This window comes from Homo sapiens, chromosome 2, assembly GCF_000001405.40.
Source record: "Homo sapiens chromosome 2, GRCh38.p14 Primary Assembly".
Classification (NCBI taxonomy): domain Eukaryota; kingdom Metazoa; phylum Chordata; class Mammalia; order Primates; family Hominidae; genus Homo; species Homo sapiens.
The window spans coordinates 238,850,241-238,874,724 of NC_000002.12; the positions used below are offsets into that span (position 1 = coordinate 238,850,241).

The 24,484-nt window shown below is 48.8% G+C and overlaps 1 protein-coding gene across 3 annotated transcripts in view, besides 8 other annotated features; it reads left to right on the forward strand.

Annotated features, from left to right (window-relative positions):
* Window positions 1-24,484, forward strand: part of TWIST2 (twist family bHLH transcription factor 2) — a 62,450-nt gene that overhangs the window by 2,156 nt on the left and 35,810 nt on the right. Inside the window, exon 2 of one of the 3 annotated variants that reach the window (XR_007069137.1) lies at window positions 824-16,768. The exons of the other annotated variants lie outside the window; for them this stretch is intronic. The gene's annotated coding sequence lies outside the window, so the exon portion shown is untranslated. Of the gene's footprint in view, window positions 1-823; window positions 16,769-24,484 lie in introns of those variants that run through there. 3 annotated transcript variants of the gene reach the window in all.
* Window positions 4,660-4,829: an enhancer, noted in NCBI's record as "experimental_57450 CRE fragment used in MPRA reporter constructs". NCBI's record gives its function as "activates a minimal promoter by MPRAs in K562 erythroleukemia cells, with activity observed for both the introgressed and non-introgressed 2:239763626 variant alleles {active_cell/tissue: K562}" and the evidence as "EXISTENCE:reporter gene assay evidence [ECO:0000049][PMID:34662402]".
* Window positions 5,028-5,197: an enhancer, noted in NCBI's record as "experimental_57458 CRE fragment used in MPRA reporter constructs". NCBI's record gives its function as "activates a minimal promoter by MPRAs in K562 erythroleukemia cells, with activity observed for both the introgressed and non-introgressed 2:239763994 variant alleles {active_cell/tissue: K562}" and the evidence as "EXISTENCE:reporter gene assay evidence [ECO:0000049][PMID:34662402]".
* Window positions 5,641-5,831: a silencer, noted in NCBI's record as "fragment chr2:239764522-239764712 (GRCh37/hg19 assembly coordinates)". NCBI's record gives its function as "represses an EF-1alpha promoter that drives an FKBP-Casp9 reporter gene in an ReSE screen in K562 erythroleukemia cells {active_cell/tissue: K562}" and the evidence as "EXISTENCE:reporter gene assay evidence [ECO:0000049][PMID:32094911]".
* Window positions 6,890-7,389: an enhancer, noted in NCBI's record as "H3K4me1 hESC enhancer chr2:239765771-239766270 (GRCh37/hg19 assembly coordinates)". NCBI's record gives its function as "activates a minimal SCP1, AML or CMV promoter by ChIP-STARR-seq in naive H9 embryonic stem cells {active_cell/tissue: H9 hESC(naive)}" and the evidence as "EXISTENCE:reporter gene assay evidence [ECO:0000049][PMID:30033119]".
* Window positions 6,967-7,136: an enhancer, noted in NCBI's record as "experimental_57470 CRE fragment used in MPRA reporter constructs". NCBI's record gives its function as "activates a minimal promoter by MPRAs in K562 erythroleukemia cells, with activity observed for both the introgressed and non-introgressed 2:239765933 variant alleles {active_cell/tissue: K562}" and the evidence as "EXISTENCE:reporter gene assay evidence [ECO:0000049][PMID:34662402]".
* Window positions 13,968-14,262: an enhancer, noted in NCBI's record as "tiled region #8511; HepG2 Activating non-DNase unmatched - State 1:Tss, and K562 Activating non-DNase unmatched - State 22:ReprW". NCBI's record gives its function as "activates a minimal TATA promoter and a strong SV40 promoter by Sharpr-MPRA in HepG2 cells. with weaker activity in K562 cells {active_cell/tissue: HepG2 | K562}" and the evidence as "EXISTENCE:reporter gene assay evidence [ECO:0000049][PMID:27701403]".
* Window positions 14,532-15,149: an enhancer, noted in NCBI's record as "H3K27ac-H3K4me1 hESC enhancer chr2:239773413-239774030 (GRCh37/hg19 assembly coordinates)". NCBI's record gives its function as "activates a minimal SCP1, AML or CMV promoter by ChIP-STARR-seq in naive H9 embryonic stem cells {active_cell/tissue: H9 hESC(naive)}" and the evidence as "EXISTENCE:reporter gene assay evidence [ECO:0000049][PMID:30033119]".
* Window positions 22,594-23,098: an enhancer, noted in NCBI's record as "NANOG hESC enhancer chr2:239781475-239781979 (GRCh37/hg19 assembly coordinates)". NCBI's record gives its function as "activates a minimal SCP1, AML or CMV promoter by ChIP-STARR-seq in naive and primed H9 embryonic stem cells {active_cell/tissue: H9 hESC(naive and primed)}" and the evidence as "EXISTENCE:reporter gene assay evidence [ECO:0000049][PMID:30033119]".

A 24,484-nucleotide genomic window follows, 5' to 3' on the forward strand; every position in this document is an offset into this window, starting at 1 on the left:
CTTTGTCAAAAACAGATGGAAAGTGTCTCAATCACATATTTCTCTAGGAAAGTTTGGATTGGCTGAGTACTAAACGCTACAGTGGGGTAATACATTAATTCTGGTTTTTGCTGCCTAAATAATGAGCTTCCATTAGTTACTTCCATTTATGCTTTACCTCATTCATGGTTTATAGCACATCTGAAATAAGAACAAACAGATGAGGAATGTCATCTTTTTAAAAACACACACATTGAGCCGTGTTTAAGGAAAATGTCACTTTAATTATCGTTAAGACTGCCCTCCAGAAAATTACTGAAAACAAATACCAGTAGATATGATGCTGCTAGAATTTAGTAGGAACATTTAAAATTCATTTAAAAATAATCGCACTCCTCAAAACTTAGAGAATCAGCCATAGGTAACCATTAAAGATTATAGAAAAATAAAATGCAATACATGTAATAAATAAATAAAAACAGTGCCAAGAGCTTGTTTGGAAAAAAGCCCTTGAAAATATAATAGATAATTACACAGTTAGTGGGAGAGCTGATGATCTATAAGGAGCCTATTTATTTTTATTTTTACATACTGGACTATAACTGAGTAGTTCAAACAAGCTAGTTTCATTAAATAGATACTCTAAAAGAAGAGAAAAGAAATATGGAAAAATTTTATCCATGAATGATTCTGGACACACCTTGTTTTTATTTATCAGGCACGTTAGGCAGACATCTTGTCATTCTTTTTGTCTTTAACTCATTATTCCCTATAAGATCAATACGATTATAATTGGTTTGATTTCCTGAAAATGTTGCTAAACAGCATTTGTTTTTATTTGTAGCATTTCTAAGAAGCATTAATTATATGCATCAGCAAAGAATCTCTAGACATTTCAGTACATTGTAAGTGATTTTAATGTTTGATGTGGGATGTTTTCACGTATGTGAAGAAAACTGTCAAGACTAACAGCAACAGCAGCACAAAGCCTAAATTGTCCTCTGAAAGGAAGAGAAACGCAAGAGATGGTGGAGTGCGGGTGCTGCCGATATCTATCCTGCCTTTCTTCTTTGGCCTGGTATTTAAAAGCACAATTAGACAATAAATCAGGTGTCTTTGTCCAGTCAGTTGGATTCATCTAATAGAAAAATCTCAAAAGGATTTTTTTAGTATTCTCATTAAATGCCTGAGTCTTCGGAGCAGGGTCCCAGACACCTGGCTTGGAGGGTGGGGGAAGGTGACCATTACTTATCAGACATTTGTCCTGTTCCCTGCTGTGTGGTTAAAGAAAACATCTTCTCTAACTTCTGCATAGTGTGCACAGATTTTCAGTAGATTTCCTCACTCAACAAACTTTTTTTTTTCTGAGAACTTTTAGCTACTTTGAAGAAATTGCATGACCCCTTCACCATCTAATATATGTGAGCCTTTTCCTCCCTCCTGAAAATTTACTTCTCATAGGTGTTTGTTAACTGCTGTATTCAGGATGCTAGAAAATCAGTTCTTCGTGGAGAAGAACAGAAATGCAGAATCCCAATGGAGCTTTTGCTTGCCTAGAAGAAGTAGAATGAAAGGCTGAGCTCCCTGGAATATAAGCAATGTTTGGTTACAAAATACCCATCAATAAGATCTGATGTAGGGATTTGACCTGTTAATGTGGGTCTTTCCCCTTAAATATCAGCAGTCCTTTCGGCCTTGCATCAGGGAAGTCTTGCTACTCATCTTGCTGGAGAGGGAATTCCTCAGACTTCAGTGGCTCTTTGAGGCCATTTGAGATAGAATACTTCACTGAGGTTTCCTGAAACTCATATTTTCATACAGATCTTGAGCTGAACCATGTTCTTGTCATCCTTGCTTCACTCTGTTCTGGGTAGACGGCACAGATGCCGGATTCCTTTTGCCTGGCAAAAAAATTTAAAAAAAGAAAAAAAAACACCACACACATAAAGTAAACTCTTTCTGAGCAGAGCACTATAACTCATAACTTTAGTTTAAATCTGGGCTTTAAAAAAAACAAATATTTTAATAAGCCAATTTTAAAGGCTGAACTTTTATGACGGTTTTTAAGCTTAGTATTTATATTAATCTATTCTCACTGGTGTCTTTAAAAACCCTGTGAATGCATGCTGGAATGTCTGTTTATGTTTGTGTCTTTTCCTGGGAAAGGATAAATGTGCTGCAAAAAGCAAACCAAATACAGAACTCTCCGCTAGCAGAGAGTTCACAAATGAGGCAATAAAATTCAAAGAAGAGATGAATAAGTTACTGTAGCCAAGGACTGGAAAACCATAAAGGAGAAACAGAATCTAAGAGATACAGACATGGATGCTTTCAAACGTAAAGGCAAGATGAAACACTACAAACAGAAACTGATTAAAAAGATATTCCACATGGTCACCTGAGTCTACACGTGATAAAATTGCATAGCACTAAACACACACACACACACGCACATGCACGTGCACACACATGTACACACGAGTGTATGTAAAACTGGTGAAATCTGAATGAGGTCTGGGGACGATATTGACGCCAGTTTCCTGATTATGATAATTGCAAGATGTCATCACTGGGAGAAGGGAGTGAAGATATGAGAATCTCTGTATAATATTTCTTGCAACCTCATGTGAATCTATAATTATCTCAAAATTAAAATAAAAAAGATATTCTACAAAAGTATTAAATCTATATATTTAGATAAGCAAATTATCTAAGAAATTACTACTAAGATTTATCTCAGAGTAATAAACTAAAAATGTGACTTGAGCAAAACTCCACATATTTTTTCTGACGCCATTTGAGGAATCTCAATATATTTCCAATATATAACTAATTAGAAGTGGTTCCCTGTAAGTCTTAAATAAAGAATAGTATCCCAGAAATATGAAAGGTGAAATACCAATTATAATAGCAATACATTTATTCCTATACTAATAAAGAAAATATTTTACACAAAATTTTGGGAAATATCTACCTTAAACTGATACCTGTGTTATATTTGCTTTTTAAGATACTAATTTTATATTAACTTTCATTAAGCATACACACACAATTCTAAAGCCAATGATTTATAAAAATTATTCGCCAAGAAGTATAGAGATTGAAGTTTTAGTATTTGGAGCCATAAGCAGTGAGAGGGAGAGGATATAGCAGAGGAGGGAGGGAGAGAGAGAGAGAGAGAGAGGGAGAGAGGGAGAGATGGAGAGAGAGAAGGAGAGAGGGAGAGATGGAGAGAGAGAGAGAGAGAGAGAGAGAGAGAGAAACTCAAACCCTAAGCCCAGTTATAGTTATTTTTAATGAATAATTGTTTAGAAACATATTTTCTGTTTTTGTTTGGTAGTAACCCTTTGGATGAGATTGAGTGATATTAAACTATGCCTTACCTGAATGCTGATTTGGAAATGAGGGCGGTAGCATTAACAAGGTGAATTTTAAGCTCTTGTAAACTGAGGCACAGTGTGATTTCTCTTCAGCGATTATTAATGGTTGTCACTTCGAAAAGAGACTTGGATCTGAAATTGGAAAAGCCAACACATAACTTGATTCCAGCATGAGGAAAATGTTTTAGTGCTTAGTTAAAAATAGAGTCATTTTGAACCCAAACGGTATCTGACGTGCTTCAGATATCTGGGCTATTTCATCCTCAACTGTGGTGTGATAATATGATGATCCTGTGGTGATGAAGATGAGAGAGCGCGGCTGCGTGAGCTGAGTGCAGTGTCTGCTTGTCTACCGGGGCTGTCCCTCACTGAGCGGTTTTCTATCCTAATATTGTTTTCCTCTGTTATTTGACCAGGGAAAGATTCAGATGACCCAGCTTCTGTCGAAGCCTCATGGAGAACTATAGTTTTACTTCTCAGACCCGAAGAGCAGTGCCTTTAAACTTGGACACATCTCTCCTTTCTTTAGTTCAGATTTTCCCTTCACTGAAATGAAAGACAGGGTTGAACTCAGAAGAGCTTTCGGTTATCACATTCGATTATCCTGGAAAATACTCCTGTCTTTTTAGTTCACATTCTGCCTTAAAAAAATAGCCATCAGTATCTTCTGGGAGGAAATGGTAAATTTTGTTATGTGGTCTGGCATTAGAGTCCTAATTCTCACTGTCTAATTTGACAGACGGTTCACCTCTGTGTCTCTGGATGTGCAGGTCTGGTGTGCGACTGACGGGAAAGATTTGGGCAAACCCCTTGATTTGTATTAACCCTTCGACCTTGACTAAACATCAGACCCCACCCTGTGGCTGAGGTCTGTGGTGTGGTCACAGGCAGAGTCTTTCCGGAGCACCAGGCAGAGCAGCTCCCCCCAGGAGGGGTTAGGGCAACTTTTTGGCCTTTTGCTGTGAGAGGGGAGGGTTAGAGATCCTTTTGCTCTCTTCCCCGTGGAGAAAAAAATGTTGAAACTTTCGTCGTTACTACTGTTTTTCTGTCGCTATCCAGACAAAATGCCACCCTAGCATTTCTGTTAAATCTCTGTAAGTAGATGCCCCTGCTGAAGGGTGGAGAGATTTTGGCCCGCTTCCGAGGCAGGGGCTCCATGAGGGACAGCTTGGAGCATGAACAACCTCCTAAAGGAAAGCACAGGCCAGTCATGTACAATCTCGGGCTCTGCTGCCACGGCAGCTTTCTTTGTCTGTTCTACTTTGAATTAGCATATTCTGTATGTGAAAATGCAAGCAGGCAGCGTTTTCTTTGAATCACGAGATCTACAAGTACCGTTTCCTTTCCTTCATCTCTGCTCTTTGAGTGGTTCGTGTGGCCGGTGCTCAGAGGGCTCGGAGTGGCAAGCTGGCTGCCTGCGTGGACTCCCTGGACCTGCGACTTGTCCTTTACTTCCACAACTCAGACTTTTAGCTCGGCGGAAGAGTGCACAGGCGCAGCGCAAGCTAGCTAGCCTGCAGGGTTGGCAAAACCTATACCGACTGGGTCCCTTCCGGAAAGTTTGTGTGAACTTTAAATCTCAGTCTCAGGGAGACTGTTTTGTCTTGATACATAACAGAATAAGGCAGTTATCATTTCTTTGGGAAATGCCTAAAATACCGCAAATTGGAAGGGAAGGGAAAGGAAGGAGGAGAAGGCATACTCCTCTTTCTCAAATCGGGCATCTACACGTCTCTGTTCACATCATTGACACCAATGGGCGAACAGTGTCTTCATTGAGGATTAATTTTCCTGAAATCAAATAATCCCAAATTGCATACTACATATATACTGGTTTCTAACTAGTCAACATCTTCAACATATGCCCAGCCGCCTGGCTTTCCTCTCGTTCATGATAATCTGCATGCGTAGATGGGAAGCTAGGAGAGAAAGATGTGATCATTTCGCATTCCTTGTTTTCTGTCTGGTGAACATTTCTTCTCCAGCAAGTGTTTCCTACCGCTTCCCCCAAACCTGCATATACTCTTCTATATTCTTTAGTTGAAACAGCATCTTTTAAAAACATGATTAACTGAAGTCCGCTTGAGGTTTCACTTTATAAAAAAGTAATAGAGGAAGAACGAGAAGCCCACCATCAGGTCCCGTGATAGCTCAGTCACACGTGGAAATACAGACTGTAAATACAGAATGGCCGAGGACCCTCTGAGCAAAGGTCATCTAGGGGCTCCCGAAGCCTCGTGCGGCCCATAGATGTGTGCTCAGCACCCCCGCCTCAGTGTGTGCTTGGCGACTCCCTCTCCTTCGTGGGCTCATGTTACTATTTTCTAAAAGTATTGTTTCACTGATACCAGAACAGGAGTGCTCCAAACAGATATCTGTACCCTAAGAATCCCAGGGTGCCCTGTTTTTGTTGATTTCTCTGGTGCAGAAGGACCTGTTTCCACGATCCCCAAACTCCCTGGGGGCCGTGCGGTGGCTGTGGCAGAGGGGGTGCATCCAGGACTGGCGTTTTATGGCCCCCGAGGTAGGGTCAGGAGAGAGCTTATCTTGAGGTCCCGTCTTGTGTGACTGCGAAGGTGTTAATAGGCAGGGTCCAGGTGGCCCATGCGAGCTGGCAGCATTGGAAGGGTAGAATTAATTGAAGGGCATTTTACTGGGTGTTAAATTATTGCTAATTCCAAAACTTTCTTTCAGACTATTTTTTTCTGAGAATAGAGATTTCCTTCTAATTAAACAACAGGCAAAAGATGAGCACGGTTACTCACCTCTCTGCTCGTTTCAGTGTTGCTGTATGTCATCTCCTTTCTTGTTTTACTACAGTTCACAAGTGAATAATATCATGTAATTTCAGTGTGGAACAATGTAATTTCCATGTGCGTCCCCAGCAACCCTGTGTACATTAGTCTATCATTTATAATTTATAACATGGAAAAGTTTTTTTTTTATGAAGGACAAAATAAAAGAGAAGGTTAGGATGTGAATAGGTCAAGTGATATATGAAGAATTTCACAAGGGATCAGGGCTACGGAAGGGACTCAGGTCTCTTAAGAATAGGTCCCATTCTGTATTTATCTTCAGGATTGTGTTGGGGCCGTGTGCCTCTCTCTGCTGCTGGCCATGGGAGACCCGGCACCTCTTCCTCAGTGTCCCTCAGAGACATAGAAGACAGCAGTTTCTCAGAAAAAGCACCCTTCCTGCCGTTCTCAGAAAAACAACACTGTGAAAATCCAGCAGGGCCCCTCCACACTGCTGCAATAGTGCCACGAGGGAGGCCGCTGCAGACACAGTCACTTGAAGAGGACCTCAGGTGCCTTCCCTTCCTGTTTGGTCCCAGGCATCAACACTGCCCAGCAAAGTGTGTCCAAGAAGCCCCAGAGGGGGCCGTGTCTCTGAGGGGCCTGTGACAATCGCAGGTGATTCAGATGCCAGAGAAAGCAGAGGCCCCCAGAGGAAGGTGGTCAGGGGGCCATCTGCTGTGCCTGGGGTCAAGGACCACTGGAGGGAGCTTGGGTTGGCCTGAGACTGTTCAGGGGAGGGGCACCATGGGCATGGTGCCCCTGCATGACGGGCGGGCCCTCCCATGAGAGAGGAAGAGGGGAGCAAGAGGAAGGACGCTGCTGGCTGTTTGCAAGTAGCTGTCCCACCACCCTGGCACTTCCCTGGTCCCTGAGGCTGGACGGGCCTTGGAGCCCATCTTCGCTAAGGCCCAAGTCACCTATCAGCTCGTGCTGATGAATGTCTGAGCATGAGCCCAGCACGGCTCAGCATTTGCCAAGGTTAAGGAAAGGAAGTGGTAACTCAGCATTGATTTCCTCCCCCTGGATTTAATAGCGATAGATCTAAACCTGCAGTCAGATATCACTTTGAAAGCCTTGGCTCATCTAAAGACAGCTTCCAAGAGACGATCAGGCCAGGCCACTGCTGCGGTTTGCAGAGGAAGCAGGACCAGCCCTGTCTTTGCTGAAAGAAGCCAAACGACCATCTTGTCTGTCTCGTAAAGCATCCTTCTGCTTGAATAGCAGAGCTCTTTGAACGGCAATAAAATATTACATTGAGGCTGGGCGCAGTGGCTCATGCCTGTCATCCCAGCATTTTGGGAGGCCAAGGTGGGTGGATTACCTGAGGCCAGGAGTTCGAGACCAGCCTGACCAACATAGTGAAACTCCATCTCTACTAAAAATACAAAAATTAGCCACGTGTGGTGGCACACGGCTGTAATCCCAGCTACTCAAGAGGTTGAGGCAGGAGAATCACTTGAACCCAGGAGGCAGAGGTTGCAGTGAGCTGAGATCGCGCCACTGCACTCCAGCCTGAGCGACAAAGCGAGATTTCATCTCAAAACAAACAAACAAACAACAAGCAAACCAACACCATTACATTGGGCAGATGACAGACTTTGTCCTCCCGGCTGGTTCCTCCAAAGCCAACTGGCCTGGGGGTTCTCTGTACCAGGCTCTTGGACAATCAGCTTGTGTTGTACTGTTTCCTGAAAGTTGCAAATATTGTTGAATGTTAATTACATAATTTCACTTTTTCTAACCAGAAAGAGGAAAAGAGGAAGTGGGGAGGCAGAAAGTGAAGCTGCTGTGCATTTCTGCCTCCCTGGGCGCATCCACCGGGCTTTCTCCTACTTGGTTCATCACAATGTGAAACCATAATTAACTAATTCTGAGAACTTTTAAATGCTTGTGACTATACATGATCGGTGTGACTCTCTACAACAGATTTTGCAATTAATTGAAGTCACTGTTTCTGGAATAAGTCATATGGGATTCTTCCCTTTAGTAAGCTTTTTTGAGGTGGTATTTTTCTAATTTGGGAAATTTTAATTAGGCAGAAACCAAAGGCTGTTGACTTTGCGAGAGGCAAGCTAGCTCCCCAAGTGACTCTCTTGGTCAGAACCCATTGTCTTGTGTCTGGGGGATCCACGGTTCAGAATAAGACTTGACTGAAGTTAAGTCTTGACTCAAGTTAAGCAGTGGAGAACACTTTTCTGCCCTCAGCCTTGCAGTTTCCCATGTGGTCCGAGGCAAGTCATGGCCTCTCTGGGCCTCAGTTTCCCCGTCTGTAAAATAATGGACTAAGTTTCTTATAGCCCTCTGGCTACTAGAATTCTAAGAGCCAATATAACCCTGCAATTCCACTGCTAGGTATATACCCCAAAACACTGAAAACAGTTTTGTTCAAACAAAAACTTGTACATGAATGTTCATAGCAACATTATTCACAATAGTCAAAAGACGGAAACAGCAAAGTGTCCATGAACTGAGGATCAGTAAAACGTAGCCCATTCGTACAATGGAATGTAATTCAGCCATAAAAACAAATGAGGTTGGGCACAGTGGCTCACGCCTGTAATCTCAGCACTTTGGGAGGCTGAGGCGGGTGGATCACCTGAGGTCAGGAGTTCAAGACCAGCCTGGCCAACATGGTGAAACCTCATCTCTACTAAAAATACAAAAATTAGCCGGGTGTGGTGGCGGGCGCTTATAGTTCCAGCTACTCGGGAGGCTGAGTCAGGAGAATCGCTTGAACCTGGGAGGCAGAGGTTGAAGTGAGCCGAGATTGCACCACTGCACTCCAGCCTAGGCAACAAGAGCGACACTCCGTCTCAAAAAAAAAAAAAAAAAGTGTAATATGTGCTACAGCATCGATGAACCTTGAAAACATTATGCTAAGCTCAAGAAGCCAGATGACTACATATTGTGATATTTGGGATTTCATTTATATGAAATGTCCCAAATAAGCAAATCCATACAGGCAGAAAGGAGACTGGAGGCTTCTCGGGCTTCATGGGAGGGGGTGTCGGGGGTGAGTGCTGAACAGGTGTGGAATTTCTGTTTGGAATAATACAAAACGCTCCAGAACTAGGTAGTGATGATGCCTTCACAACAAGGTGTATGCACTAAATTCCACTATGCTTTAAAAGCTCAAATGATAAATTTTATATTGTATGTATCTTACTACTATCACCAAAAAAAAAAAAAATCCTACTTCCCAGACCATGTGCATCTCTGGTAACTGAGGTGTTCAGTTGGGGGTGGAGGGGCTAAGGGGCTAAGCGTTCACCCATCCCTCACTTTTCAGAGATGTTATCCAGTTTATCCTCCTGCTTCAGCACTTATCCAACTCTTCTAGTTGTGCCTAAGAGCATTTTCGACATCTAGTTCCTAATGTGTTTATTCACACACACACATGCATGCACGCACACGTGTGTCAAACAATTCTGAGGCACACTGTTTCTTTTGCCTGCCCTCTGCTTTTTGTGACATGTTGAGTACACCTCTTGAAGCCTCTCCACAGTAGACTGAGTTCTCACCCTCTGGGGGCCGAGGCAGAGAGGGATTCACGCTAAGCCTCCATGCTGCTTGCAGTCAGCCTCTAGATGAGAGCCAGGAGCATTTGCCATATCTGTAGTGGGGGAGTCTGGTACCTGATGGGAAGACACACAAGGGTGGCCCATGAGTGCACACCTCTCGCCTCCATCAGCAGGCTGTCCACAGCCCAGGGCTCGTCTGCCCGCTCGGTGGACCGCTTCAGGCTGGTTCTGGGCTCAGAGGCCCTCAAGGGGTTGGTGCCACCTCCAGAGTCATGGGATTCCTGCTCTTCGTGTGTGCAGGTGCTGCTCCCAGAAGACAGGGAGACACCTGGAGACATCAGGAGGGTGGCACTAACTCGTTCAGCACCAGTTGTGTGTTTTCCTTCGGTTGCTCATTTTTCTTTTCTTCCTCCCTGATCTGTGCACCCTTTACATGCTCCTCAGCCACCTGTGTTTGAGACACTGTCAAAACCGCCCACCCAAGAGGGATGGGCCAGAGAGCTGCTCTGAGTGCTCCCTCAGCCATGACCCCATCCTGTTTCTTTTTAAGACATCATCACCTTTGTGGCATTATTCAGCCAGATTTTGAGACACTGATAGAAGCCCCAGAGATGGTGTTGGGCTCCAGGATTGTTTGAATTTTCAGAATCCAAACTGAGGGATCAGGAGAACTTGGAGCAAATCCCAAAGGATCTCACCAAGGGTTGAGTTGCCAAAAGCAGACAAAAACTGTTCCGGGCCAGGCGCAGTGGCTCACGCCTGTAATCCCAGCACTTTGGGAGGCCGAGGCGGGTGGATCACCTGAGGTCAGGAGTTTGAAACCAGCCTGGCCAACATGGCGAAACCCCGGTTCTACCAAAAATACAAAAATTAGCCGGACGAGGTGGTGGGCACCTGTAATCCCAGCTACTCGGGAGGCTGAGGCAGGAGAATCGCTTGAACCTGGGAGGTGGAGGTTGCAGTGAGCCGACATCGCGCCACTGCCCTCCAGCCTGGGTGACAGAGCAAGACTCCACCTCAAAACAAACAAACAAACAAAAAACTGTTCTGTGTGATGCTGCTGTTCCCCCATTCCCAGTCCCATTGCTGAGCAAAGAGGAAGCCACCAGGGAGGAGGTGCAAAGGGAAAGAGATTCCCAAAAGCTGCCAAGAGAGAGGACTCCAGATGGAGATGGGAGGACTGGCCGCCGGGGCCCTGGCCTCTTCCTTAGTTAAGTTGTGCAGTCGGCTTGACAGGAACATGGGTCACCCTCAAGCCAGACACATCTTGGTCTCATGGCCCCCATCAGTCACCGCCGCAGGGGTTCTTCCCACAGCTGCCGAGGCGCAGAGCCCAGCTGCTTTGATTCATGAGCACGATATTCACATTCGTAGCACAGCACACTTGCTTTTCCTGGGGGATGCTCTGCTCTCCTTTCCGGCCACTTCTGCTTCGTGGTAACTAAATTGGAGGCTCTACCATGTCCAGCCTGTGCTCTGTATGCCTGGGGGGACACTGGAGCCAGCGCCCAGTGAGTGTAGGGTAACTAGAAAGGGCACCTCCATCACTGATTTTCCAACTGACTTTCAGAGACACCATCTGGATGCTCTGAGGCAAGTCGGCACCCTTAGGCGCCCGGTGGGGGTAGTGTTCCGCCCTTGTCTCCTCCACTCCTCCTCCCTATCTCTATCTCACTATCCCTGAAGGTGAGACCGTGGTGTCAGAGAATGCACTGAGTCAGCGTCCCTTTTAGCACACCTGCCACCACCTGACTAACAGCAAAGCCAGGCTTCCTGGTGAATCCCGTTACAGCCGTCCCGTTTATCCATGGTTTCGCTTTTCGAAGTTTCAATTACAGACAGTCAACCACAGTCCAAAGTTATTAAATGGAAAATTCCAGAAGAAAAATTGATACATTTTAAATTGCACACCATTCTGAGTATCTTGATGAAATCTCGAGCTGTCCCGCTCCATCCCCCCAGTCTCTGGGTCATCAGACAGAAAACACATACAGTATATATAGGGTTCCGTACCATCCTTGGGATCGAGCATCCGCTGGGGGTCTTGGTGTGTATCCCTGTGGATAAGGGGGCCTACTATAATTTCATCCCACTGAGGTGCCATGGCCCAGGCCAGCAGGGACAGTCACAGCTGTGGACGGAACACCACAACCACACGTGGACGGAACACAGCGGGACATCAGGCCAGTGTCTTACAGGTGGCAGTGGTGAACATCCAGTGAGCTGAAGTGGTGTTTACTAATGCAGGCCTTTCCGACCATCTGCTTCCAAAAGCTGACCATTCCAAGTCCAGCAATCATAAATAAAATAGCAAAATAATAACTCACTAAATTAAAATTGTAAACTTTTATATACCAAAAAACTATGACAATCAAAAATTTTAGAAGAACCAGGAAGAAAATATTTACAATCTGTTTTGCAATGGGTTAATGTTCTTACTAGAAAAAGGGCCTTTAAAAAATTTAAAAAGACAATTACCCCATATGGGCAAAAAATATGAATTCATAAAAGGAGAAATTCAGTTGGTCAATAAACGCGTGAAGTGTTGAACTTCAACAATAATCTAAGGAATTAGAAATAAAACAGAAGGATATTATTTTTTATTAAATTGGAAAAAATACATAATTATAAACCCCAGTATTGAGGAAGGTGGGGGAACCAGGCCATCCTATTTGCCAGAGGGAAGAAAAGCTGCACAAGCTTTCTAAAGGAATTTTGATGGTAGGTAAGAAAAGATCTAGGACTGGAAATACCCTTTGCATGAACAATTCCACTTCTAGGAATTATCTTAAGTGAATAATGGCAGAGCTGCCGAGCAACAAAGAAATTCATATCAGCTTCATTAATATTGGCGACAAAATTAAAATGTCCTGGGAAATAGGTGGGATAAACTCTGCTTGGTCCATATGCTGGAACACTATGCAGTCAGCAAATGTGTGTTGTAAGTGGATGTTTAATAAAGTGACGGCCATGATTGTAGGATGGAGCAGTTCATACGATCTCAGGTTGGAAGATCAAAGTGTGTGTGTGCATGCACGGGTGTGTTTGTCTGGAGAGACAGTGGCAAGAATGAATGTCTCTGGACCAAAAGTTGATGAAAGAGCTTCCTTTCCTTCTTATGTTTTTTTTTTTTTAATTTCTAGATTTTCTACAGATGCCCTGTATTACTTCTGCAATTTGAGAACACAAATCCAGAGGTGCCCAGTGCTTTGTAAAGATAGTGTGGCAGGCACATGCTGACCGACCCTCCCTCCAGAGAAGGGCAACTACTCCCAGTCCCATCATAAGGTGGTGCAGTGAAAATACAGCTGCCATCCACATAGGAATGCCCTCACCGCAACCCCCACTCGGTGTTAGGACTTAGGTACTTGCTGAAGTAATACAAAAGAGTGGCCTTCAGAATATATTTTTGTATCTTCTGCAATCTACATTAAAGATGCCCGTCCATCATTTTCAGAAGAGGCCTTTCGTGTTAGGATAATTCAGAAGGATGCACCCGGAATGTACCAGCGCGGCTCCCTGATGGAGCTGGCGACGTCCTTTGGCAGTGAGGGCTGTGCGGTTTCAGCTCTCCTGGCTGGCCTTTACCCGCTGGGCAGTTCCCAAATGGCGCTTCATGATGGGACTGGCGCTCATCCTCACACTGTTAGTGTTAGCATCCTCATTTCTTCTGCCTTTTTTTCACTCCTCTCTACGTAGTTGGGGATATCTGTTGTTAACCATAAACCACTTCAGCTTTGGGGAAGCAAGTGGGAAAAAACCTCAATGAACCCCTTAGCTGTTCCCCGAACCCAAATTGAGAAGAGGTGCTTTGACCCCGACTCACTCAGTGGAGCTAGAAAAAGCCCTTTCTTAGCTACTAGAGACGTTTTATTCACTTTTTACCAGGATCAAAAATGAAAACCACGTGTCCCCCTGGCCTTGTATGATGAATGACAAATGTGTGGGACTGAGGAGAGGTCGGCCGTAGAGTAGGTCTACCCCCTATCCTGGGGGCATCCCTGTGTGCCAGCTTCTCCAGAACCTACAGGGAGGAAGCACCAGGCGGCACCTCCCCAGAGGCTGGAGACCAACCAGGCACAGAATCTCTCATTTCCTTTCAGATTCTTCGCCATAATCTAATTTTCGTTAAGCCTGTCTTCCTTTACACCCTGGGCTACATTTGACGCATATTTCTGGCAAATTCTGGGACCACCTTTGCCAGATGACCAAATCCTTTTCGGAGAGATGACTGAAATATTTGTAAGTTTCCATCAGCATGGGGGGAAGGGGCTGGAGGTGAGGGGGGACCTCTCGGGCTGTGCCGTGGTATCCTCTCTTCTCCACATTACACCCCAAGCACGCGACTGTGAGCGGCGATCGGGGCCTGATCCTCAGTTCGAAGACACAGATGCTCACTGCTGTAGAGACATAAAGAAACCAAGAGGTTAACTGCCAGGGTTAGTCCCCTCCGCGGGCCTCCTGCATGAATCAGAGCCGACTGGGAGCAGGAGTGACTCAGAGCCGTGGCTTTTTGTCCTCTGGCTGTGCAAATAAACAGAGCAGGAAGGTTTGAATGGGCCAGGCCTGGAGCAGAGTGCAGGGTTGGAGGCGGCTCCCAGTTCCAAGGCGCGCCCCACCCGGCCCCCAGGCCAGGTCAGCCTGGGGAGGGGAGAACTAAGGGCACCAGGCAGCCCACCCGGCCCGGCCAAGACCAGCAGGACAGGGGCCCAGAGGCTGGTACCCTCCGAGGTGCGGGAGAAGAGGAGGTGGGAGGGTGCGGGGCCGTGGCTTGCTCTGTGGGGACACTGCCCTGGGGTCCACCCTGCCGCGGGGTCCACTTGGTATAGGCACCCACCAGGCCTGCACCCTACCCTGGGAAACACCTGTGGGGCTGTCCCCTTCTCTGAGCATCTGTGAGGGGTTTTCCTCTCCTTAGGGACCCCTGGAAGGTCCAGAGTGCAGGGTGTGTGGCCAGGCCAGGCCTGGAGATCCGCCAGGAGCAGAGAGCTCCGGAAGGCCTGCCGGGAGGACCTGGAGGATGCATCTACTGCCAGGCTCGGTGGGCCTGGCCACCCGAGGGGCCTCTTCTCTCCCCCTGCAAACTGACATAAAGGGTTTGAGAAACGATGGCAAAGCCACACGGGGTCACTCCACTCGTTGAAAGTCCACCCAGCAAGCATGCAAGCACTGGGCAAGCAAAATTATTTTCATCCTCAGAATGGTCCAGTGAGCTGGGTGCTTTCACCCCCATTTCACAGCAGGGGAAACTGAGGGACCTACGTAACTCCTCAGCTGAGAGCATAGACAGAGCTGTGGGCAGAGCCAGGAAGCAAACCCAGCCAGTCCAATTATCTAAAAAATGAGATTTTTCCCTCCATGCCAAGTATGGCCCCATCCTACTGAGTCGGGTCATTATGTCAGGGCTCTCTGCTTTAAACGACGGCGCACAGGGACCTCCCCATGCAGCAGGGAGTACCCCGGAGAGTGAGGGGGGCCTGGATCCAGCCGGGCACCTGTTGGCGTTCCTACACCCCTGCAGTCTGCTCTCAGGTGCTCCTGTGTTGGGAGCAAGGCCTGAGGCGCTCGTGTCAGGATTCCCTGCGGGAGATCGGGTAGCTTCAGCCTGGGCACAGAAGCCTCTGGGTCCAGAAGTGAGCAGATCAAACCCCTGCCCTACTCACGTCACCCACCTGGCGTCTCCTGGCTTTGGGTGGCCCAGCCACATGCCTGCAGGTTGAGTCTTTGAATTTGCAGGGCCAGGGCCAGCTGTGCCATCTGGTCTTTTGGAACTTTTTTTTTTTTTTGCTGTGGCATTAGACAGGCATCCCCTAACCCAGAGAACCCTCACTACCACTGCTCAGAGGTCCCTTTTTATACGTGGTGCCAGTGAATACACCAATTTAGATGCTCTGTGTAGGTAGGAAGCAATCCCCACAGTCTGTGCGATGTCACCTTGTGTGGTGGAAATGCCATTCGCTGTGATGAACCCTTTCCAGTCACTCCACCGTACAGTGCCCCGCCGGGGTCGGATCGGCCCTTCTTCCTGGTCCCATCTCCCGGGATCTGCTGTCCCCTCTTCAGGCCCTTCTTTGTGTGGTTAGCCTGGGGTACCTTTCCCAGTCACTGATCTGACTCCGTCGCTTAACCTGTTAATGGAATAGCATGGACGATGCACCCCACACTGCATCTGGTGTTACTGGGACCCACTGAATGTAGGTTCCTTTACCCCCATTTCACCTGCTGCCAGCAGGATGGCCAGGCCTGCCAGGCACCGCCCAGGTTCCCCATGGCACGGGCCCTGCCTGCTCTTCTGTGAGCTGCCTCTGAGCCCTGGGCACCCTCCATGGCGAGCTCCCCAGGCCAGGAGCATGTCTGTCCTTTTCACCCTGTACCCAGCACTTGGAGCAGTTGCCAGTAAGAACAGGGGTGAGGAGATGAGCAAACCCACATGCTTGTTCTTAAAGCATGGCACCTTCGGCCAGGCACAGTGGCTCACACCTGTAATCCTGGCACTTTGGGAGGCTGAGGCAGGCAGATCACGAGGTCAGGAATTCGAGACCAGCCTGGCCAACATGGTGAAACCCCGTCTCTGCCAAAAATAGAAAAATTAGCTGGGCATGGTGGTGTGTGCCTGTAATCCCAGCTACCTGGGAGGCTGTGGCAGGAGAATTGCTTGAACCCGGGAGGCGGAGGTTGCAGTGAGCTGAGATCGCGCCACTGTACTCCAGCCTGGGTGACAGAGCGAGACTCCACCATGGAAAAAAAAAAGAAAAGCACGGCGCCTTCATGTTCCATGCCTTCACGCTGCTCTCCCTTGACTGGAATCTCCCTTGTGCCCGACAGGACTACCTCCAGTGTCCCCTCCTTGGGGAGCCTCTAACCACCCTGCTGGCATTTGTGGTGACTCCTGAGGCCTCGTATATCCCCTAGCGGCCTGGCAGCTGCGACGGTTTGTCTGCCTGTCACCCCGGGAGCACCTTCAGGACTGTGTCCTTGTCATGTATCCGGATGCCCGGCTCAGCCCATGCCCTGCACAAGTGGGGGTCATGGAGGGAGCCTCTGTTTCCCCACCAAGTACACCAAGAAACTACACTGTGTCTGATGCAAACGCATGTTTTCTGTGCATCTGTGATTTACAATTCCCTGGCTGCCTTCCAAGCAGAACGCACCTGGCAGCCTGGGGGTCTTGTGTTTGCCCCAAACAGAGGAGCCAGCCTCTTGTTTCGAGGGCCTTTTCCGTCCTCGAAGCCAGCAGCTGGAGGGAAGGAGGCTGGCTGTAACATTGGAGGGGCCACAACCCCCGAATTTCTTCTGCAGAAGAGAAGGGGTAGAGGTGGAGAAAGAGGGAGAGGGAGGCAGGGAGGGAGGGGGAAGCCACTGTACAGCCTAGCCTGGAGACATCTTGGGGGAAAGTGATTCATCTGATCTGGGATGGAAGATTATTCTGGGGAGTAAAATGTCCTGCCTTCAACACACACACACACACACACACACACACACACACACACACACTCCTCAGTAAAATACCCAGTTCTCACCAGGCTTTATGCAGTGGCTCTGGGGGCAGGGGCACAATAAAGAGAAGTCCCAGCCAGCTCCCGGGGTGGTGTGGGCTGAGGAAGAGGCTGGGAGGAGAGAGTTGTGGCTGGGAACCCTTTGATAAACAGGAAAGAATATTTTCACTTTGGCACAGGCCTGGCACGGAGGAGCTGTCAGCAAGCAGGCGTCCGAAGATTGAGATCACAGAGGGGTGGCCGAGGCTGGGGCACAGGCTGGATGCAAGGCAGATGCCACATGGAACCCTTAGGTATTGAGTGCCCTGAAACTAGAAACTGAAAAGGCAGTCACATCCTCATCAGAAAGAAATTGATGGTGAGTTAGGAGGCCAGGAGGGAAGCAGCCGTTCCCAGAGCTGAGGGGCATCCCTCGAAGGCGGGAGGGAGAGAAGTGGGAGGCAAAGGCTGGGGATGGCCGGATGGCCCTGGGACCAGCAGAAGGAGCAGGTGGGCTGAAGAATGTGTTGGAGCAGAGACTGTGGTCAGCGGAAGGCATGAGAGGGGCCACCCTCCTGCATGTAGTGAGGCTCGGGAAACGTGGAACGAAAGAAAGATAGAAAAAATAAATGCAGTATAATGGAAGTTCCAAGGAACACTGCAGTTAGGAAGGTGGCTGGCATTCCGGAATTACCTCCCTGACCAGTGCAGTGCCCCACAAAGGTGGCATCCCTCACACATCAGCCCCGTGCCCTGGGTTCCCTCTGGGTGCACCTGCCCAGGAGGTCAGGCTTTCTGCACGTGGCTCCCAGGGGCTCTGCTGAGAAGCCCTTAGACATCGTCTAGTACAGCCCCTGGGCCCTCTCTGGGGTGCAGACAAGCTGGTGAGCTCCAGGTCTCAAACCTGACTGCCCAAGTGCCGGGAGCCCCCCGCCCCCCAGCCTGCTCTGGTAAGCGTCGGGCTTCTGTCCAGATGACACAGCTAAGCAGGGTTTGGAAGAACAAAAAACAAAACCCAAGCCTGCCCACTTCGGACAGGGGCAGGGTGGAGAGCCTCAGTGGGGGATGGGGGACTGGCTAAGTCAGGCAGACTCAAGGGGTATGGCCAGACGGATCCCAGTCTCCTCCCATTCCACGTCCCTACATCATTCTATGGGACCACAGGAAACCAAACTGGCCCTTCTTGAGACAGAGATGGAAGATGCTGTTTCCCACAGTGGACACCAAGCAGTCCTGGCTGTGACTGTGTCTGTGGGACAAGCCGTGTTCCAAGGTTGGTGACTGTCCGTGATCACCAGCTGCCACCATGACCAGTATCCTCTGTTGCCCACACACTCGGGCATTGTTGGCTGGGCTCAGTGTGGTGCCAGTGTGGGCTGATCCACAGGCATGGTAGGGCCGGGACACAAGCCCACGGCTCAGCAAGGCTGGAGGGAGCGCTGCGTGCCGGCCGGTGCAGGGGCTTGTGTCCATTTGATTCTCAAGATGGTCCAGTGATGGAGGTGGCATCCACCTGCATTCTCTCGCATTTTCTAGAGAAAGGAAGTTCATCTCAGAGGGGTCAGTTGGCATCGGTGTCTGGGTTGTGAGAGACAGTGTCGTCCGCACCAGCATCAGGCAGCAGATGGCACGGGTAGGTGCGCGGGCAGCAAATGCTTGGCAGTTTAAGTGGTTTCCTTGCAAAGGACGAGGCTGGGGAGCACGCCACTGAGAGAAAGGCATCGACTCCTGCAAAGCCTGCTTCCGAAGCGAGCAACGTGGACTTGTTTGCACAGAATGGGAAATAGGTCCAAGTGCGGTGAGGAGTACTTTAAAGAAGGGATTTCACAAGCGGTGCTGGCACAGGCCACTGCAGCTTGTTTACTGCCACGGAGATGGAATTTCATACTTTCAAAAGGAACAATCTGGGATCTCTCAATAAAACTTCCAGGGCACAGGCAAGGAAAACAAAAATAGACAAATGGGACTACGTCGAACTTAAAAACTCCTTTGTATCGAAGAACACAACAATGAAATGACAACCTGTGGAATGGGAGAAAGTATCGGCAAATTATCCATCTGATAGGAGAGAACTATCCAGAAGAGATGCAGGACTCCTATGATTCAACAATAAAAATTAGATAGCCTGCATAAAAGTAGGCAAAGGCCTTAAATAGGCATTTCTACAAAGATGATATACAAATGGCCAACAAGCACATGAAAAGATGCTTGACACTACCACCCATCAGAGAAATGCAGATCCAACCAGAAAGAGGTACCAGCTCACACCTATGAGGTTGCCTACTCATGCCTGCAGTCCCAGCATTCTGGGAGGCTGAGGCGGGAGGATTGCTTGAGGCCAAGAGTTTGAGGCCAACCTGGGCAACCTAGTGAGATGCCATCTGTACAAAAATGAAAATAAAAAAGTAGCAGGGTGTGGCGGCCTATGCCTATAATCCTAGCTACTTGAGAGGCTGAGGCAGGAGGATCACTTGAGTCCAGGAGTTTGAGGTTACAGTGAGCTATGCACACCACTGCACTCCAGCCTGAGCAACAGAGTGAGACTGTGTCTCAAAACAAACACAGAAAATAAATGTTGGTGAGGATGTGGAGAAATTGGAATCATTGGGCACTGCTGGTGGGAATGTAAACCAGTGCTATAGAAGACAGTACGGAGGGTCCTCAAAAAATAAAATGCAGAACAAACAAAACGACAAAACGTGGTGTGTACACAGACACACCATACACCCCCCACACACACACCACACCCCATACACACCACACCCCACACACACCACACACCCCACACACACATCACATACCACACACAAACCACACACCCCACACACACATCACATACCACACACAAACCACACACCCCACACACAAGCCACACACCCCACACACACATCACATACCACACACCCCCACACACCCCACACACCCCCACACACCCCACACACCCCACACACACCACACACCCCACACACACACCACACACCCCACACACCCCACACACCCCACACACACATCACATACCACACACAAACCACACACCCTACACACACCACACACCCCACACACACCACACACCCGACACACGCCACACACACACCACACACCCCACGCACACATCACATACCACACACAAACCACACACCCTACATACCCCACACACCCCACACACACCACACACCACACACCACACACACACACCACACACCCCACACACACATCACATACCACACACAAACCACACCCCCCCACACACACAGCACACACCACACACAAACCACGCACCCCATGCACACACCACACACCACATCCCACACACTCCCCACACACATCACATACCACACACAAGCCACACAACCCCCCAGACACCACACCCCACACACACAGTACACACTACACACAAACCACACACCCCATGCACACACCACACACCCCACACACACCACACCCCCACACGCCACACACACACCTTACCCCACACACACCACACACACACCACATACACACCACATCCCTCCCACACACCACACACACACCACACCCCACACATACCCCCCAAACCCCACACCCCACACACACCACATCCTCCCACACACCACACACACACCCCACTCTGACACACACCACACACACAGCACACCCCACTCACACACATCACACCCACCACACACCCCACACACAAACACCCCCCCCACACACACCATCACCCCCCCCAACACACACACACACACACACCACACCCCATACACACCACACCCCACACACACCACACACCCCACACACACACCACACACCCCACACACACATCACATACCACACACAAACCACACCCCCCCACACACACAGCACACACCACACACAAACCACGCACCCCATGCACACACCACACACCACATCCCACACACTCCCCACACACATCACATACCACACACAAGCCACACAACCCCCCACACACCACACCCCACACACACAGTACACACTACACACAAACCACACACCCCATGCACACACCACACACCCCACACACACCACAACCCCACACGCCACACACACACCTTACCCCACACACACCACACACACACCACATCCCTCCCACACACACCACACACACACCACACCCCACACATACCCCCCAAACCCCACACCCCACACACACCACATCCTCCCACACACCACACACACACCCCACTCTGACACACACCACACACACAGCACACCCCACTCACACACATCACACCCACCACACACCCCACACACAAACACCCCCCCCACACACACCATCACCCCCCCCCAACACACACACACACACGATGGAATGTCATTCTGCCTTTAAAAAGGAAGGTTGTCTCGATAGGGACCATAGCATGGATGAACCCTGAGGACACGGTGCTGAGTGAACTAAGCTGGTCACAGACAAACACTCTATGACTCCACTTACACGGGGAACCTCGTGCAGCCGGATTCATAGAGACGGAAGGCAGAACGATGGCTGCCGGGGGCCGAGGGGAGGAGTGGGAAGTGCGTGTTTAGTGGGGACAGAGTCTCAGTCTGAGAGGAGAAAAAGAGTTCTGGAGATGATGGTGGTTAAGGTCACACAGCAGCGTGAATGTCCTTAATGCCACAGAACTCTACGCTTCAAAACGTTAAGACGGTCAATTTTATGTCGTGTATTTTACCAGGATTAAATTATTTCCGGGGATGTTTCTGCCATATTAACCGGAAGGCAGGTGACTCCTGGGCTGGGGGGGTCCCACAGTGGGTCCTGCCTGCCCCCATGCTCTCTATCCCACTAGCAGTCCCTGGCCAAGAGTCCCGGGCCACTTTATGCCCTCAGACTTGTTGCTCATTTAACCTTAGTCCAAGTGGGTGGTGTTCCAGGGTGAGATTTGGGCTGGACACTGGGCTGAGCTATGTAGGCCAGGATGAGGGCCATGCCAGTGTAGGGGGATTGCAAGGCCAGAGGAGTGGTCTCAGGTGCACCACCCTGTGCACATCAGGGCTTCCAGCACGTTCTACTTGGAAGTGATGCTTACAGATTCTCAAGAAGGTTGAATCCAAACCCTTGTAAAAATTGGGTCCTGTTGAGTGTCTTTTTGTTTGTCTGCATTTAGATCTAGTAACATTTTGGCCAACGCTGTGCAGGGAAGGGCGATGCTCTTTCTTTTCCAAGAATTGGGGTTAATAGTCCATGAATTTGATACAAATATGAGTCTTCAAGGTCATTCTGATGAAAGCTTTCAGGCATTTTTGAAGCTGTGAGTTATTAAATACGTAGCATCTACCCATGGGGGGAAGTAGGGCACAGGCCTAGCCACGGAGCAGGTACAGTTGCCACTAAACCCCTGGCACCAGGACGATTTACTGGACAGGTGACCAGTGTTGTTCCCATTCTGCAGATGGAAAGTCTGGAGGTCACGGGCATACGGCCCAGAGGCACACGCTCCGCAGATGGTTTTGCGTAGCTGGTATCATGTGGGGCAGCTGCAGGGTCCTTCGTGTTGCCCTCACATTTACTGAGTCCTGGCTGTTTGCAGTCCTTCTGCTGGGTGCTGGAGACATAAGAATGACTAGAATCTGTCTCTCCTGTGGAGGACTCACCATTCACATCCAGCCAAGGAGACAATGGAGGACTCACCATCCACATCCAGCCAAGGAGACAAATCTACTGACAGCCATTCATAACACTGCATGTAGCTGTTGTACAACAATGGTTAGCAAACAAAGAAGACAAGGATGCCTCCTCCTGGACACAGTAGGGAGGCCAGACCAAGGGGTGGCACTTTGGTGGATCTGTCGTTCAATCAACAAATACTTGTTGAGAGCCTCCCACGTGCTGGGCTCCACATTAGAGACCGGGATGTGGCGGGGAAGAAGTCAAGGCAGTTCCTGTCACCATGAAGCTTGCCATGGGAGGGGAGGGGAGGGCAGGCAGGAAACACACAAGACAGCAGATGTGGGCTTGCTGACCATGGGTGCTGAGAAGGAAGCAAGAGGATGGGGAAGGACATCTGAAGAAATGACGCTTGAGCAGAGAATGAATGGAGTGAGGGGTCCTGCCCAGGTTGAGGATTAGGTGCGCAGAGCCTGGCGTATGCTCTGGGGGTTGGGAGTGGGCAGGGGGATGGCTTCAGAGTAGAAGGGAGCTGCAGAGATGTGCACGCATGAGCGCACACAAGAGCTACGGGGTCCTGCTGAGTGAGATGTTCTCAGGAAGGTGCACACCGTGCACAAGGAATACACAACGGGCAGGTGGGTCCGAGCGCTCCTCCCTGTGCCCAATGCACGGTGCCAGGGGAGGACAGAAGCAAAGTTGGGCTGAGAGTCAGAAGCAAATCTGGGCCGAGAGTCACGCTGGTCTTGGAAAGGCTTGATGAGTGGGCCTGAGGGTACGTTCCGGAACATCTCGATACCAGAAACAAAATAATAAAAAGCCTTTGTTTGTGTCTTGCTCAAGAGAAGCTGGAGGCCTGTGATTCTTCTCCTTTACCGTCCCTGCCTCCAAATCCAGACTGGAAATGGGAACGTCATTGTGCATCAGCTCGAAACTGGGTTGGTGGCCTGCTCTAAACTTGCTGATCCATGTTCCATCAAGGAAAAAACTCACTTGCGGCTCTGTACCTCTCTGAGATGGGGTTCATGCGTTAGAGGAGTTAGCAGCCTGTTTGGAAGACAAGGGGCCTGAGCTGCATCCCAGGCAGGATGTTGATGGAGGGGATGGCGATTGTCTGTCAATGATGAGGGATGGGATCCCATGTGCAAAGAGGACCACACTCTCCTGAGAATTTGGGGACCAGGGCTGGTGACTCAGGGAAGTGCAGCTACCACTGTTCAAGGGAAACACAACTTGGGAACACGGCTACCCAGATGCTTTTATTCAATCCTCATCCTTTACGGAATCCAGGACATGAAAACCTAATTTGTTTAAAAACTCAACTTTCCTGCTGTGGGCATCTTAATTTCACGTGCAGTATTTCTCTTTAGTTCCATGTTATCGTGTCTTAAAATGTCCAATTTAGTTACTTAAGGCTCTTCTTTTGCAAAAGAATAGAAAGAAAAATGTTAAGGATGCAGGCCCAGGAGACGTTGTGTTATCCCAGGACTTCCACAATAAAAAAGCGAGCTTTCGAAATGATGTGTATCCTGGTTGGACGACTCTCTCCCTGGTGAATGCCGGTCTGCACCAGCCCCACCTCCTGGCCACTAAAAATCTTTAATATTACATAGTACATACATTCGTTCACCAGACATAGCACGTTGAAAAGGCCTGGAGGAGTTTCTCTAAAGATGCAAATCTTGGTACTTTGCTTGTTTCTTGGAGAATCTACAGGGGCTCTCTG